Source organism: Homo sapiens, chromosome 19 (assembly GCF_000001405.40).
Source record: "Homo sapiens chromosome 19, GRCh38.p14 Primary Assembly".
NCBI classification, from domain to species: Eukaryota; Metazoa; Chordata; class Mammalia; order Primates; family Hominidae; genus Homo; species Homo sapiens.
The window spans coordinates 914,717-928,037 of record NC_000019.10 but is presented as its reverse complement, the minus strand read 5'-3'; the positions used below and the strand labels follow the sequence as shown (position 1 = coordinate 928,037).

At 61.7% G+C, this 13,321-nt stretch overlaps 2 protein-coding genes across 5 annotated transcripts in view, besides 15 other annotated features; both read right to left on the bottom strand.

The window, feature by feature from the left end:
- ARID3A (AT-rich interaction domain 3A) overlaps nucleotides 1–2,306 on the bottom strand; it is a 50,208-nt gene extending 47,902 nt beyond the window's left edge. The window contains exon 1 of one of the 3 annotated variants that reach the window (XM_017026445.2): nucleotides 2,118–2,306. The gene's annotated coding sequence lies outside the window, so the exon portion shown is untranslated. Of the gene's footprint in view, nucleotides 1–1,840; nucleotides 2,004–2,117 lie in introns of those variants that run through there. The other 2 variants (XM_005259514.5, NM_005224.3) reach the window with 2 other exon arrangements.
- Nucleotides 1,034–1,226: a silencer, noted in NCBI's record as "fragment chr19:926812-927004 (GRCh37/hg19 assembly coordinates)". NCBI's record gives its function as "represses an EF-1alpha promoter that drives an FKBP-Casp9 reporter gene in an ReSE screen in K562 erythroleukemia cells {active_cell/tissue: K562}" and the evidence as "EXISTENCE:reporter gene assay evidence [ECO:0000049][PMID:32094911]".
- Nucleotides 1,034–1,829: a biological region, named in NCBI's record as "H3K27ac hESC enhancer GRCh37_chr19:926209-926969".
- Nucleotides 1,069–1,829: an enhancer, noted in NCBI's record as "H3K27ac hESC enhancer chr19:926209-926969 (GRCh37/hg19 assembly coordinates)". NCBI's record gives its function as "activates a minimal SCP1, AML or CMV promoter by ChIP-STARR-seq in primed H9 embryonic stem cells {active_cell/tissue: H9 hESC(primed)}" and the evidence as "EXISTENCE:reporter gene assay evidence [ECO:0000049][PMID:30033119]".
- Nucleotides 1,214–1,453: a silencer, noted in NCBI's record as "silent region_9637". NCBI's record gives its function as "represses an Ori minimal core promoter by ATAC-STARR-seq in GM12878 lymphoblastoid cells {active_cell/tissue: GM12878}" and the evidence as "EXISTENCE:reporter gene assay evidence [ECO:0000049][PMID:35858748]".
- Nucleotides 1,874–1,943: a silencer, noted in NCBI's record as "silent region_9636". NCBI's record gives its function as "represses an Ori minimal core promoter by ATAC-STARR-seq in GM12878 lymphoblastoid cells {active_cell/tissue: GM12878}" and the evidence as "EXISTENCE:reporter gene assay evidence [ECO:0000049][PMID:35858748]".
- Nucleotides 2,034–2,963: a silencer, noted in NCBI's record as "silent region_9635". NCBI's record gives its function as "represses an Ori minimal core promoter by ATAC-STARR-seq in GM12878 lymphoblastoid cells {active_cell/tissue: GM12878}" and the evidence as "EXISTENCE:reporter gene assay evidence [ECO:0000049][PMID:35858748]".
- Nucleotides 3,054–3,143: a silencer, noted in NCBI's record as "silent region_9634". NCBI's record gives its function as "represses an Ori minimal core promoter by ATAC-STARR-seq in GM12878 lymphoblastoid cells {active_cell/tissue: GM12878}" and the evidence as "EXISTENCE:reporter gene assay evidence [ECO:0000049][PMID:35858748]".
- Nucleotides 6,124–6,203: a silencer, noted in NCBI's record as "silent region_9633". NCBI's record gives its function as "represses an Ori minimal core promoter by ATAC-STARR-seq in GM12878 lymphoblastoid cells {active_cell/tissue: GM12878}" and the evidence as "EXISTENCE:reporter gene assay evidence [ECO:0000049][PMID:35858748]".
- KISS1R (KISS1 receptor) lies at nucleotides 7,033–10,705 on the bottom strand. 2 transcript variants are annotated; one of them, NM_032551.5, is made up of 5 exons: nucleotides 10,292–10,705; nucleotides 9,370–9,494; nucleotides 8,413–8,548; nucleotides 7,932–8,164; nucleotides 7,033–7,748 (listed from the first exon to the last, which is right to left on the bottom strand). In NM_032551.5, exons 1-5 carry the CDS (start codon nucleotides 10,533–10,535, stop codon nucleotides 7,290–7,292), a joined length of 1,197 nt encoding a protein of 398 aa, NP_115940.2. In that variant the 5' UTR covers nucleotides 10,536–10,705; the 3' UTR covers nucleotides 7,033–7,289. The 2 variants fall into 2 exon arrangements, with proteins under 2 accessions (NP_115940.2, XP_047295501.1); XM_047439545.1 differs by having other exon boundaries at nucleotides 7,033–8,164.
- Nucleotides 7,251–8,190: an enhancer, noted in NCBI's record as "H3K27ac-H3K4me1 hESC enhancer chr19:919848-920787 (GRCh37/hg19 assembly coordinates)". NCBI's record gives its function as "activates a minimal SCP1, AML or CMV promoter by ChIP-STARR-seq in naive H9 embryonic stem cells {active_cell/tissue: H9 hESC(naive)}" and the evidence as "EXISTENCE:reporter gene assay evidence [ECO:0000049][PMID:30033119]".
- Nucleotides 7,430–7,499: a silencer, noted in NCBI's record as "silent region_9632". NCBI's record gives its function as "represses an Ori minimal core promoter by ATAC-STARR-seq in GM12878 lymphoblastoid cells {active_cell/tissue: GM12878}" and the evidence as "EXISTENCE:reporter gene assay evidence [ECO:0000049][PMID:35858748]".
- Nucleotides 7,730–8,119: a silencer, noted in NCBI's record as "silent region_9631". NCBI's record gives its function as "represses an Ori minimal core promoter by ATAC-STARR-seq in GM12878 lymphoblastoid cells {active_cell/tissue: GM12878}" and the evidence as "EXISTENCE:reporter gene assay evidence [ECO:0000049][PMID:35858748]".
- Nucleotides 8,191–9,131: an enhancer, noted in NCBI's record as "H3K27ac-H3K4me1 hESC enhancer chr19:918907-919847 (GRCh37/hg19 assembly coordinates)". NCBI's record gives its function as "activates a minimal SCP1, AML or CMV promoter by ChIP-STARR-seq in naive H9 embryonic stem cells {active_cell/tissue: H9 hESC(naive)}" and the evidence as "EXISTENCE:reporter gene assay evidence [ECO:0000049][PMID:30033119]".
- Nucleotides 10,125–10,324: a silencer, noted in NCBI's record as "silent region_9630". NCBI's record gives its function as "represses an Ori minimal core promoter by ATAC-STARR-seq in GM12878 lymphoblastoid cells {active_cell/tissue: GM12878}" and the evidence as "EXISTENCE:reporter gene assay evidence [ECO:0000049][PMID:35858748]".
- Nucleotides 10,725–10,814: a silencer, noted in NCBI's record as "silent region_9629". NCBI's record gives its function as "represses an Ori minimal core promoter by ATAC-STARR-seq in GM12878 lymphoblastoid cells {active_cell/tissue: GM12878}" and the evidence as "EXISTENCE:reporter gene assay evidence [ECO:0000049][PMID:35858748]".
- Nucleotides 10,825–10,964: a silencer, noted in NCBI's record as "silent region_9628". NCBI's record gives its function as "represses an Ori minimal core promoter by ATAC-STARR-seq in GM12878 lymphoblastoid cells {active_cell/tissue: GM12878}" and the evidence as "EXISTENCE:reporter gene assay evidence [ECO:0000049][PMID:35858748]".

Below are 13,321 nucleotides of genomic sequence, written 5' to 3'. Positions count from 1 at the left end.
CACCCAGGTCAGTGTTGCACAGCAGACACCCCCAAGCCTCCCCAGTCACCGGACAAGAGAGTCCTGTGGCCCCTCTGCCCTAGACACCCTTTACCCAGACCCCTGAGTCTTTCGGCCCCATGGGTGAAAAGGCAGTGGGGGGCAGGTGGGTGGCCCCTGGGAGAAAGCGAGGAGGGCATGTTCCAAAATAGCCTCTGTTCCATCTGTTGTGGGGACAGAGGTCCCAGGTCACAAAGACCTCAGGGCCATAGCGCTGGGTTGTGACCAGGAGAGCCTGGCGGTCCGGAGGCCACCAGGGCGGCACCCAGCCCCCCATCCCCAGGCTGGAGGTCACCCCCCACCCACCCAACCCAAGAAAGTGCTGAGGGGGCATTTCTGACTCAGGGTCTGGTCGGGTCTGTCGCCCCTCCCCCACCTGGGACAACTTCAAGACAAGGCCCCCCCCACGGAAGAGCTCCAAGCAAAGCCCCCCCTCTTTGGGGGCACAGAAGGAAGAGGCCAAAGGAAGCCACTCCCCCCACCAGCCCGCTCCGAGCCCTGCTGGGTTTAATGACCCTTCCGGGTCGCCGGGTGGGGGAGGGGAGCAGGACAGACCTCCACGTTGGGGCCGGTGGAGGGGGCAGGTGGGGATCCCAGATTCCCCCCTAGGTCAGGGCTGGGTGCCCCCCCATCGCCGCCATAACCCTAAACTAGCTACGCCCACCCCCTTCAGACCCCTCCCCCCAAGAGCCCTTTGTCCTCGACCCCCACCCCCATTTTATGACAGCCCCAAGGGAGAGGCTGGGACGGGGCGCTGGGTGGTCGTTGGACCAGGCAGGGGTGGGGGGCGGAGGGATCCTGGGCCACACCCTCCTCCCCCCAGGCCTCCGGAGAGAGGTCACCCGCTCGGCGCGGGCCTTGCAAAACATGGTTATTTAAAGAGTTGTGCAAGGCCCCGGGCCCGCGGGTGGCGAAAGGGGCCCCTCACTCCACGAAGGGAAGAGGAGGGGGAGGGGCGGGGCAGAAAGCTGGGGAGGGGGCTAAGAAAGTCCTGGGTTGGGGGGGCCTGGAGGAAGTGAGAAAAAAACTCAAGAAGGAGAAGAAATAAGAAGACAGAAACCCTGGTCCGGATTTCAAAGGCTTCTTGGAAAGCGGCCGATTTGCATGGGGGGGGGAACCCCTCCAGCCCGAGCGCCTAAAAACGGAAGATAATTGAACCCGCCGCCCGGGGCCGGCGCCGAGCGTTGGAGTTGACAAACGCGCGCTCCCAGCGCTTCCTGCGCCCGCTTTTGTGTCTGGGGGGCCCTGAAACGGGTCAGGGGGCTCTTCCTGGGTATCCCCGCCGAGGAACCGGGCGCCCGGGCCCAACCCACCCCGGCGCCCGGGGGCCGCGGTGTCTCCCCCGGGGGCCCCTCTCTGCGCTGGGGCGGACACTTTATAAATAAACCAGCCCGGCTGGGGAGGCTCGCCGGGAACTACCCTCCCTCCTCTCTGGGCTCCCGAATAAATCCCTGATTTCGGGGAGAAAGAATAAAAATGAAATAAAATATCGGGGTGCAGCCCCCCGCGCGCGCGCAGAGACCATTTCCTTCCGCTGGGGAGGGGGGGGCGCGCACTCGCGACCCCCGATCGCCCCTGCTCGCCCCTGAGCGATTGATCCAGTGGGGAGTGAAGTCTCCAAGCGGGGTGCAGAGAAAACTCCCCGAACCCCAGCCCGCCAGGGCCGCCTTCCCAGTCCGGGACCCCCACCAACATCTCCGCCCAACTTTGGGGACCCCCTTCTTTGGCTTCCAGGACGCACTGCGCCCACCCCGGCACCGGAACCCGCGCTGGGAACGGCCAGCGCGCTCCCCAGCCTTACCGCGCAGGGCGGCTCGTAGTGGGGCGCGCGCCCCGCGCCTGGGGTCGGCCTGCCCGGGCCCGCCTGGCTTCCAGCCGCCGGTGCGCGCCGCTGGCTCCCGGCCCCCGACCCACGGGGCTGTGCCGCGCGCCGACTCACCGAGCCGCCAGCCGCGTCCGCGTCTACACCCCTCCGCCCGATTGGTAAGAGGCGCCCCGCGCGCGGCCGGCCCCCGCCCCGCCCCTCCCCCACCCCCAGACAAATCACCAGGGGACGAGTCGCTCTCGGATGCAAATACCTGGCCGGTGATTCAGCGCCGCGGCCCGGGCGCGGGAGGGCCTCGCCAGGGCTCCCCACTTTTCCCCGCACGCCCCCTCGCCCCCCTCCCGCGGTCTGACGACGCGCAACCAGCCCGGGGGCGCTGGGGAGCCGGGCAGAGTGGACGGAAATTTTCAGGTCGCGGCCCCTTTAAAGGATAATAAATAATAAACGGGAAGGGGAACAGCGCCGCGGGAGGCCCCGCCCCCGGCCTAGGGACGGTGGGCAAAGTGCGCGACGCGGCCCCAAGCGCAGAGGGTGCCGGGGGCAGGGGCTGGGGCGGGAGCGCCCCGGGGGAAGAAGAGGGGACTGACTGGGGCTCCGCCTGGGCGGGCTGGCCGGAGGCATCGGAGCCAGATCCGGGACCAAGTCTCTTCCCTTCTTACGGAGCACCTACGCTGGGCCTCGTGGACTCGGAGTTTCACCTTCGCCCCTTAGACGGAGAGACCCTGAGAGAGTGACTTCACTCTCCGGAGCCGCCGTTTCCAAGTCTGAGAAATGGGCTTGAAAGACCCGGTGCAGAGCTGGGCGGGCGGCGTCGGAGGGAGGGAACCAGGGTCCCGCCGGCCTCCCTCTGGGGAGGGACGGGCTGCAGACGGGGGCTCGGCGCGGGCGTGGGGAGGTGCGCGCTGGGACCCGGAGCCCCTTTGTGAAACCAGGACGACCCTGCCCGGCCCGGCTGTCACCAGCGTCGGGAGCTCGGCTGCCCACCACCCCCCCGTGAAGGTGGTGATGACTTACACGGTCTGAGCGGTCGCTTGCCCAACCACGTGCCCCGCGCCTCCCTCCAGGGAGGTCCCTGCACGTCTCCAGCCCTCACTCCTCTCTGTAGTTGGCAACCTTCTTGTCGCCACTGCGCAGAGCAGGAAACTGAGGCACCGAGCGGGGTGCAAGGAAGGCGGTCGGGAGGGGGACGCGTGCTCTGCAGGGAGCTGTGTGCGCGGGAAGCGACCCCAGGGGGCTAAGCGCAGAGGCCCAGGCTCCAGCCCGGACGTGAGCCCCAGGGGAGCCTGGAGGGCGGGCAGGGGCCACCCCGGGGGACCCTCACTTGTGGAGGGTCTCTGGCGGGCTCGGGTCCCCGGTCCTGAGTGTTGGGGGCGGGGTTGTAGTCGTCTCCCTCCCCTTTCCCTAGACTAGCACACGGCATTGCAACTTTCTCTCTGTCCTTCCACCTAGTTGCACCTCCTCCCTCCACAAAACTGCAACCGGGGCCGGCGCGGTGGCTCACGCCTGTCATCTTAACACCTTGGGAGGCGGAGGTGGGCGGATCATCAGAGGTCAGGAGTTCGAGACCAGCCTGGCCAACAAGGTGAAACCCCATCTGTACTAAAAATACAGAAATCAGCCGGGCATGGTGGCGCGCGCCTGTAGTCCCAGCTACTTGGGAGGCTGAGGTAGGAGAATCGCTTGAATCCGGGAGGTGGAAGTCGCAGTGAGCCGAGATCGCGCCACTGCACTCCAGCCTGGGTGACACAGTGAGACTCCACCTCAAAAACAAAACAAAACAAAAAACTGCCGGCAGGAGAGCTGCCCCCGACAACAAGGCCTGAATCCAGCCTTCCAGCCCCAGGGCCACGTGTAACCTAATGGCGGCAGGTGTCTGAGAGGCCTCCACCATAAGGCTATATTAAACACCAAACCCAGCTGCCACCCCTATCTCCGATGGAGAGGCCTGAGACACCTGCCCCAGGTTGGGGGTGCTTTGGAGAGACGCTCCCTGCAGCGGGATAAAGGGGTGTGGGAGTACCCCCTTCTCGGGCCAGGACCCAGCTCAGGTCTGAAGGTGCAGGAAGTCCCTCCCACCTACGATGGAGCACCTGGAGGCCAGCAGACCCGAAAGGCACCTGGAGGGCAGGTGCATGGGCCTGTCTGTGCCTCAGTTTATCCCTCTATAAAATGGGCCAATGTTAATTCAACCCTTTCACCATCCTGTTCTGGATTAGGCTGCCCTTTGTTCAAAGGGAAGGGCACAGGGTGGGGGCATAATTACCCCCAGGGCAGGAAGGGTAGAGCCCCTACCCGTTTCCCAGGAGGAAGCTGTGATCCGGGTAGCTGGCTGCAGCTTCCCCCAAAGGGGCCGCGCAGGGGGGTGAGGGGATGCAGGATGGCAGCTGCCTGCAGTGAGGGGGCTCCTATTTTTAGCCCAGAGAGGGAGCCGGGAATGTCTACGCAGACTAGCTGGCTCCACCATATTCCAGATGCCCTCATGCCCCGCAGGGGTAGGCAGCAGTGTGGATTTAGATCAGTACAGACCTCTCCCAGTCTCTTTCTCAAGCTGTGCATTGGGCACAGCAGCCCCAGCTTTAAACATTTCCTAACCAGACCATCTACCGGGGGCACAGCAGCCCCAGCTCTGAAGGTTTCCCAGCCAGACCATCTCCTGGGGGCACAGCAGCCCTAGCTCTGAAGGTTTCCCAGCCAGACCATCTCCTGGGGGCGCCTGGGGCTTTGGGAACCTCCCCCACACAAAAACAGCGTGATCCTCCCCCAACCCTGCTGGTCACTGGACCGGTTCTCTACTCTGCACTCAGGTAGGGGACATCCTCATAAAACCCCCCAGATCCCGCTCCCACAGCTCTGCAGGTTAAAAAGCCCAAACTAGGGCTGGGCCTGGTGGCTCACACCTGTAATCCCAGCACTTTGGGAGGCCAAGGCAGGTGGATCACTTGAGGTCAGGAGTTCGAAACCAGCCTGGCCAACATGGTGAAACCCCGCCTCTATTAAAAATACAAAACAATTAGCCGGACATGGTGGCAGGCATCTGTAATCCCAGCTACTCGGGAGGCTGAGGCAGGAGAATAGCTTGAACCTGGGAGGCGGAGGTTGCAATGAGCCAAGATCACACCACTGCACACCAGCCTGGGAGACAGAAGGAGACTCTGTCTCAAAAAAAAAAAAAAAAAAAAGAAGAGAGCTCAGCACAGTGGCTCACGCCTGTAATCCCAGACTTTGGGAGGCTTAGGCGGGAGGATGGCCTAAGGCTAGGTATTCAAGATGAGCCTGGGCATAGACCCTGTCTCCACAAAAAATTTATAAAATAAAAAAATTAAGGCTGACCACCGTGGCTCAAGACTGTAATCCTAGCACTTTGGGAAGCTGAGAAAGGAGGATCTCTTGAGCCCCGGAGTTTGAGACTAGCCTGGGCAACGTAACAAGACCCCATCTCTACAAAAAATACAAAAATTAGCCAATTGTGGTGGCACACACCTGTAGTCCCAGCTACTCGGGAGGCCGAGGCAAGAGGATTGCTTGAGCCCAGGAGGTCGAGGCTGCAGTGAGCCATGATCACACCACTGCACTCTAGTCTGGGCCACAGAGCAAGACTGTCTCAAAAAATAAAATACAGTGGCTCACGTCTGTAATCCCAGCACCTCGGGAGGTGGAGGTCAGCAGATCACGTGAGGCTGGGAGTTTGAGATCAGCCTGGCCAACATGGCGAAATCCTGTCTCTAGTAAAAATACAAAAATTAGCCTGGTGTGGTGGCATAGGCTTGTAGTCCTAGCTACTTGGGAGGCTGAGGCAGGAGAATCCCTTGAACCTGGGAAGCGGAGGTTGCAGTGAGCCAAGATCGCGCCACTGCACTCCAGCCTGGACAACAAGAACAAAACTCCATCTCAAAAAAAAAAAAAAAAAAAATCATATATAATGAATCCAGCCTGTTATATCTCTCTTTATACTGACGCAGATATAAAATATCATTTTTACCCCTCTTCCAGGACATGAAGCAGAATAAAGTATCTTTTTCTTCTTTTTTTCTTTGACGGTGAATATTGTAGAATAAATTACCATTTTGAATAACGTTTTCATAGAAGGGGCCCTCAAAAGTAAAGTGCCTAAGACCGGGATAATTCACAATGTGCCTCTGATTGCCCCACTTCACAGCGGGGATACCTCCAACCGGGGGTCCAGGTTGGGATCCGAAGGAGCGACACCGCGCCCTGGGCACGGGGCACCTCTGGGACTTCTGGAGGCGAGAAAAGAAGGCGCGAAACCTCCGCGGGCCGCGCGTGCCATCTGCCGGGCACCTGCGGGACTGCGGCCGGCGGGAGGGGAGGGGGGGCGGGCTCTTAGGGGCGGGGCCAGCGCCGGCGGCCGCTAGGTGGCGCCGTCTCACCTGAAAATGAGTTTTGCTCACGGCCTGTCATCCCAGCACTTTGGGAGGCCGAGGCGGGCGATCACGAGGTCAGGAGATCGAGACCATCCTGGCTAACATGGTGAAACCCCGTCTCTACTAAATGTACAAAAAAGTAGCCGGGCGTGATGGCGGGCGCCTGTAGTCCCAGCTACTCGGAAGGCTGAGGCAGGAGGCTGAGAACATAGGATGTTTGGTTTCCCATTCCAGTTTCTTAGAGTAGTGGTCTCCAACTCCGGCCAGGTTGTGTGAATGCCATTTCATTACTCTTTATGGCTGAGTAGTAGTCTTCTCTGTGTGTGTGTGTGTGTGTGTGTGTGTGTGCGCGCGCGCCACATTTTCTTTATCTGCTCGTTGATTGATGGGCATTTGCACTGTCTGTTTTCACATTTTAGTCTCTCTAAAAGTGGGATGAGGCCCCGGGCGCGGTGGCTCACGCCCGTAATCCCAGCACTTTGGGAGACAGAGGCATGGGGATCACTTAAGGTCAGGAAAATCGAGACCAGCCTGGCCAACATGGAGAAACCCCGTCTCTATTAAAATACAAAAATTAGCCGGGCGTGGTGGCGGGCGCCTGTAATCCCAGCTACTCGGGAGGCTGAGGCAGGAGAATCACTTGAACCCGGGAGGCAGAGGTTGCAGTCAGCGGAGATCGCGTCACTGCACTCCAGTCTGGGTGACAGAATGAGACACTGTCTCAAAAAAAAAAAAAAAAAAAAAAGTGGAATGAATCGTACACAGTGACAGTCAACTACAAGACAATGAGAAAACGTCTGACACTTTCTGGAATGATCCAGAAAGTCCTGTGTTGACACATGTTTAATTTCAGGAAACACAGAAGTCATAATTTCAATATCAATAGCAAACTTCACAACGAAACTGCACCGAACGTCACAAGAGACCAAAATATTTCCACAGTTGATCTTGGACAGTAAGAAAAATACTAATAACAGAAGAATAGCCGCTGTTCCAGCAGTCCCCGCTCCCGAGGGAGCCGCTCGGATTCCCACCGGGTCCGCTCAGAGAGGGGCGTTGTCCTCCCCCAGGACGCACAGCCCGCGCGCGGCCAGCCCACTGCTCCCTGGCTTCTGCGCCCTGGCGGGGGCCGGGTGGGACCCCAGGCGGAGCAGCTCCGCGTGTGGGGCTGCGGGGTCCGAGGGTCCGGGCCGGCGGGGGCGGCGGGGGCGGCGCGGCGCGCAGGGGCAGACGCGGCGGAAGGCCTGTCGGAAGTGCGAGCCCAGGAAGGCGTAGAGCAGCGGGTTCAGCGCGGAGTTGCTGTAGGACATGCAGTGAGCCCAGGTCTTAAGCGCGTAGGCGGCGTAGCTGCGTGGGTGCCAGGAGCCCGCGGGGCCCAGCGCCTGCAGCACCAGGAACAGCTGGATGGGGCCCCAGCAGGCGGCGAAGAGCAGGACCACGGCCGCCACCAGCCGCGAGACCTTGGCCCGCACGGCGCCTGCGCGCTCTGCCAGCACCTGCCCCTGGGGGGGTGCCGTGAAGGTGGTTAGACGAAAGGCTGGGGCCCGGCTCAGCTCATCCCCTCGCACCGCCCCTCCTGGACCCCTTGGGCTGTCCCTGCCCGCGCAGATGCCCCCACCGGCGCCTCCCACCACGGTGCCTCCCCGCCCGCCCAGCCTTGCTGTCCTCCCACCCACGCCGCGCACCTGCAGGGCGCTATCGGCGGGCGCGGGGCGCACGGCGACCCGGCCCAGGTGGCGCAGCATGGCCGCATAGCAGGCGCAGGTGGCGAGCAGCGGCAGCAGGTACAGCGCCAGCAGGTTGTACAGTGCGAAGGCGCGCTCCAGGGCGCGGCTGGGGAAGGCCTCACTGCAGTAGGCGCGCGGCCCGGGTGACAGGCGGTGCAGGGCGAGCACCGGCGCAGACACCGCCGCAGAGCCTGTGCCACAAGCCAGGATGAAGACCCCGCTCGGGGAACCAGCGGTCCCCCACGTGCCTCCCCGGGAGGCGTTCACCCAGCCACCCTGCAAAGGCCCGGGCGCCCCGTCTGCAGCCTCGCTGGCCCTAGGCAGGCAGAGCTATTGCGCCCATTTTCCAGATGCTGGACCGAGGCGGCAGGTGGCTCCGGGCGCCCAGGGCACTAGGACGTGTCCGCCTTCTCCCGTGAGGCCCCTGAGCTGTACTCACCTACCCAGATGCTGAGGCTGACAGCCAGCGCCAGGCGGGGCGTGCGGCGGTGCAGGGCGCGCAACGGGAACACCGTCACGTACCAGCGGTCCACACTCATGGCGGTCAGAGTGGCACACGTGGCCTGCACCGAGACCTGCGGGAGCCGCCAGCCGGGCGTGTGGCCACCTGCGCGGTTGGGAGCCTGCCCTGTCCGCCCGCCCTGCTGATCCCCCTACGTGTGCGAACACTCAGGCACATACACGGGAAGTGTCCTGGGAGGAGTGTCCAGTGCGGGTTGAGGGGACAGAAGGTGGGGAGACTGGGAGAGGAGGGCAGGAGGATTGGGGAAGTGAGGGAGCCCTTGGGGGGCGGCTGATACCCCGAGTCTGAGACAGGGGGGCTGCGTGGGATGGAGGGACAGGCGGGGCAAGAAGCCTCAGGGCCTCAGTAGCCCTTCCTCACCAGTGACCCGGGTCCCCGTCTGCATCCCTCCCCCATTCCCGCCCCCCACTCCAGTTCTAGGCTGCACCACCGCCCAGCCCCTTCCCGCAAGCTGGGCACCCCAGCCCCTGGTTCTCCTATGCGTTGCCTCGCGCCCCGCCCAAGGTCCGTCCTCCCTTCCCACGTGGGCTCCCCCTCCCCACATGCGCCCGCCCCCCGCTCCGGAGCTCATCCCCTCTCCTCGTCCCCACGTGCGCCTCCTCCCCTCCTGCTCCAGAGTGCACCCCTGCCCCGCCCCACCATGCGCCCCCTCCCCTCCAGCTTCTGAGTGCATCTCCCTCCGTCCCCACGTGCGCTCCCTCCCCTCCTGCTCCGCAGCGCACCCCCCCTCCCCGTCCCCACGTACGATCCCCTCCCCTCCCACTGCGGAGCGCACTCCCGCCTGTCCCCAAGTGCGTCCCCTCCCCTCCCACTGCGGAGCGCACCCCCGCCCGTCCCCAAGTGCGCCCTCTCCCCTCCTGCTCCGGAGCGCACCTGCTGGATGTAGTTGACGAACTTGCACATGAAGTCGCCCAGCACCCAGCCGGGCAGCGGGTACAGCAGGGCCGTGAAGGGGACGCAGCACAGGAGGAAGGTCACGTCCGTGGCCGCCAGGTTGGCTGCGGTGGGGATGCGCGGGCGCTGGGCGTGGGCGCCACTGGCCGCGGGAACCGCCCAGCGCTCCTGGCCCTGACCCCTGGCCCCCACCTTGGTCCGAGTGACCAGCAGGATGGCTCAGGGAGGCCCCCCCCTCCCCCAGCGCCCCTGGCCTCCTCGGGCGGAGAAGTTGGGGCGCCTTCTAGTAATTCCCCCTTACATCTCAAACATTACGCCTCCGGCTCGGATTTCCTGGCCATTCCGGCAGAAATCGGTTCTGCTGGGCCCTGTCCGGGCTGGGGGAGCCTAAGCAGGCCCCTGACCCTCTGAGCCTCAGTTTCCACAACTGCAAACTGGAGACAATGGTGCCGGCCCAGCAGCCACCGACTGGGCTCACAGCTGTGTGTGATAGGGGACCCCAGGACACAAATGCATAAACAGGCTCAGAGAGCCACCGGGGCAGGGGTCGCAAACTAAGGCCCGCGGGCCAAGCCAGCCCCTCCCCCAGCCCTTTGTTCAGCTGACACCGAGCCGTTGGCCCGCGCTGCACCGGGGCGAGCCCCGCGAGTGGCCAGGTCGAGGTTTCCATGTGCCACACTCCCCACCCTCCGGCCCGCCCGGGCCCGCCCGCGCTGGAGTTTGCGACCTCTAGCCTCAGGTGCAGGGACCACAGGGAAAAGATTCGAGGTTGGGGGGGACCCCTGCAGGGGACAGAGCCGGGTCCGAGAGGGCCCCGATGCGTCGCGAGAGGGCGCCCCAGGCCGCTCGGCCCTCGGAGCCCCCGGGACGGCAGCAGGTGCGGCGCAGCGCCCGCACTCACCGATGTAGAAGTTGGTCACGGTCCGCATCGGCTTGTGGCGGCAGATGACGTAGATGACCAGCGAGTTCCCCACCAGGCCCAGCAGCATCAGCGCCGCGAAGAAGAGCGGCACGAGCCAGGCGTCCACGGCCCGCGGCGAAGGGACTGGGCCGTCCGAGGCGTTGGCGCCACAGCCCGGGCAGCCGGAGGCGTTGGCCGGTGCCCCCCAGGACGCGTTGGGTCCGGACGTAGCCACGGTGTGCATGGCCGCGCGCACCTCCTCCTCCCGGCCGCCCTCCAGGATTGCGCCCTGGCACCGCCCCGGGGACCCCTCCGCCCGACCGCCCGGGGGCTGCGCCTGTGGAACTCAGGAAGGGGCTCGGCTGGGGTCCGCAGGGTCCAGAGGGCAGCTGTGCTGGGCTCGGCGGCTCCTCTGCCGGCGCCGCTGCGGCCGAGCGTTTATAGCCCGTGCCCCCCTCCCCTGGCCTTGCCTTCCCGCCTCTCCGGCAGCCGCTCGCCACTCCCTCCCCTGCCCACGCGCCCTCTATTCACCCAGCGGCAACCCCCCTATTCCCTCCTCCCGGTGCAAGGTCGGAGTGAGAGCGCGGGAGGGGGCTGGAGGGGGCGGAGCAGGCAGGGGGTGGGCCGCGTGGAGGCCGCTGTGGACCTGGAAGGACCGACCTTAACCAGCGAGTAGACGCTCAGCCCGGACTAGGAGCCCAGCCAAGGCGCGAACTCTAAGGCCTGTGAATATGGGAAGGGCTTTGACCCTCGTAGGGGCTGGGGCTCCAGGGGGTGGGCCCAGCCTGGCGGGGAGGCCAGCCCTCAGCGGAGACCCTGAGTGAGGATAGCTTGGGTTTGTCCCCAGGACCCTGGAGAGCCATGGAAAGTTCAGGGCAGGTGAGGGACGTCCCCGATCTGGTGGTTTGGGACTGAATGTGTCCCACATGACTGACAAGGGGTGTCTGATACCCGCAGGGACACTAGCAGCGGGAACCAGGTGGAGGGCACCTTGCAAACGCCACAGCCTCATTATTATTATTATTATTACTGATTTATGTATTTATTTATTTTTTTGAGACAGAGTTTCGCTCAGGTCGCCCAGGCTGGAGTGCAGTGGCTCCATCTCGGCTCACTGCAAGCTCCGCCTCCCTGGTTCACGCCATTCTCCTGCCTCAGCCTCCCTAGTAGCTGGGACTACAGGCGCCCGCCACCTCGCCCGGCTAATTTTTTGTACTTTTAGTAGAGTCAGGGTTTCACCGTGTTAGCCAGGATGGTCTTGATCTCCTGACCTCGTGATCCACCCTCCTCGGCCTCCCAAAGTGGTGGATTAGAGGCGTCAGCCACCGCGCCCGGCCTTTTATTATCATTATTGAGACAGGGTGTCGCTCTGTTGCCTAGGCTGGAGTGCAGTGGCATGATCTCGGCTCAAAGCAACCTCCGCCTCCCGGGTTCAAGCAATTCTCCTGCCTCAGCCTCCCGAGTAGCTGGGATTACAGGTGCCTGCCACCATGCCCGGGTAATTTTTGTATTTTTAGTAGAGACCAGGTTTCACCACGTTGGCCAGGCTGGTCTCGAACTCCTGACCTCAGGTGATCCACCCTCCTCGGCCTCCCAACGTGCTGGGATTACAGGCGTGAGCCACTGCTCCCGGTCCAGCTAATTTATTTTTAAATTTTTTATTTTTTATTTTTTTGCAAATAAAGTTTTTTTTTTAATTTTATTTATTATTTTATTTTATTATTATTATACTTTAAGTTTTAGGGTACATGTGCACAATGTGCAGGTTAGTTACATATGTATACATGTGCCATGCTGGTGTGCTGCACCCATTAACTCGTCATTTAGCATTAGGTATATCTCCTAAGGCTATCCCTCCCCCCTCCCCCCTTAAATTTTTTTGTAGAGACAAGATCTCACTAGGTTGCCCAGGCTTGTCTTGAACTCCTGAGCTCAAGCAGTCCTCCTGCCTCAGCCTCCCAAAGTGCTGGGATGACAAGCATGAGCCACCCAGCCTGGTCAGCACAACCTTGACTCCATAATCCCACAGCTGGAAGTGTACCCCAGGATGACATCCAGGAGGTTCCCCCAAAGTCCATCCTGCAACAGAGTCCAAGACATTTGGTCATCATGGAGTAATACACAGCGAAGAAAAAGGTGCTTCCATTTGCATAAAAAAAGACAAAAAAGGGAGGAAAAAAAATGAATAGGCCGGGCACAGTGGCTCATGCCTGTAATCCCAGCACATTGGGAGGCCGAGGCAGGTGGATCACTTGAGGTCAGGAGTTCCAGACCAGCCTGGCCAACGTGGTGAAACCTGGTCTCTACTAAAAATACAGAAATTACCCGGGCTTGGTGGAGGGTGCCTGTAATCCCAGCTACTTGGGAGGCTGAGGCAGGAGAATCACTTGAGCCCAGGAGGTGGAGGTTGCAATGACCTGAGATTGCATCACTGTAGGCTGGGTGACAGAGCGAGACTCTCTCAAAAAAAAAAAAGAAGAAGAAGAAGAAGAAGAAGGTACAGACAGGACAGGCCCAGGCCCCTGAAGGGAAGCCCTGGAACCCAGAATGGGAGGAAGGCCCAGGAAGTTCTCTGGAGTTGCCTCCCTCTCTCACGAATAAATGTTCAGGTCCATTCTTTGAGCATCTACCCTTACCCTGTGCCTGATGGATGGGGAAACCACTCATTCCCGATGCCCAGCTCCCCTGCCAGTCACTCCTGATACATCTCTCCATTGTCCTTTTTCACCTCTTTGCACATTTATCTACAGGAATCTCACAGTGCACGCTTTTTTGAGTCCATCCACAGTTTCTCATCCTTTTCTTTTTCCTCCTTACTCTTTCTTTCTTTTTCTTTCTTTCTTGCTTTTTTTTTTTGAGACAGCATCTCGCTCTGTCGCCCAGGCTGGAGTGCAATGGCACAATCTCGGCTCACTGCAAGCTCTGCCTCCTGGGTTCACTCCATTCTCCTGCCTCAGCCTCCTGAGTAGCAGGAACTACAGGCGCCTGCCACCATGCCCGGCTAATTTTTTGTATTTTTGGTAGAGATGG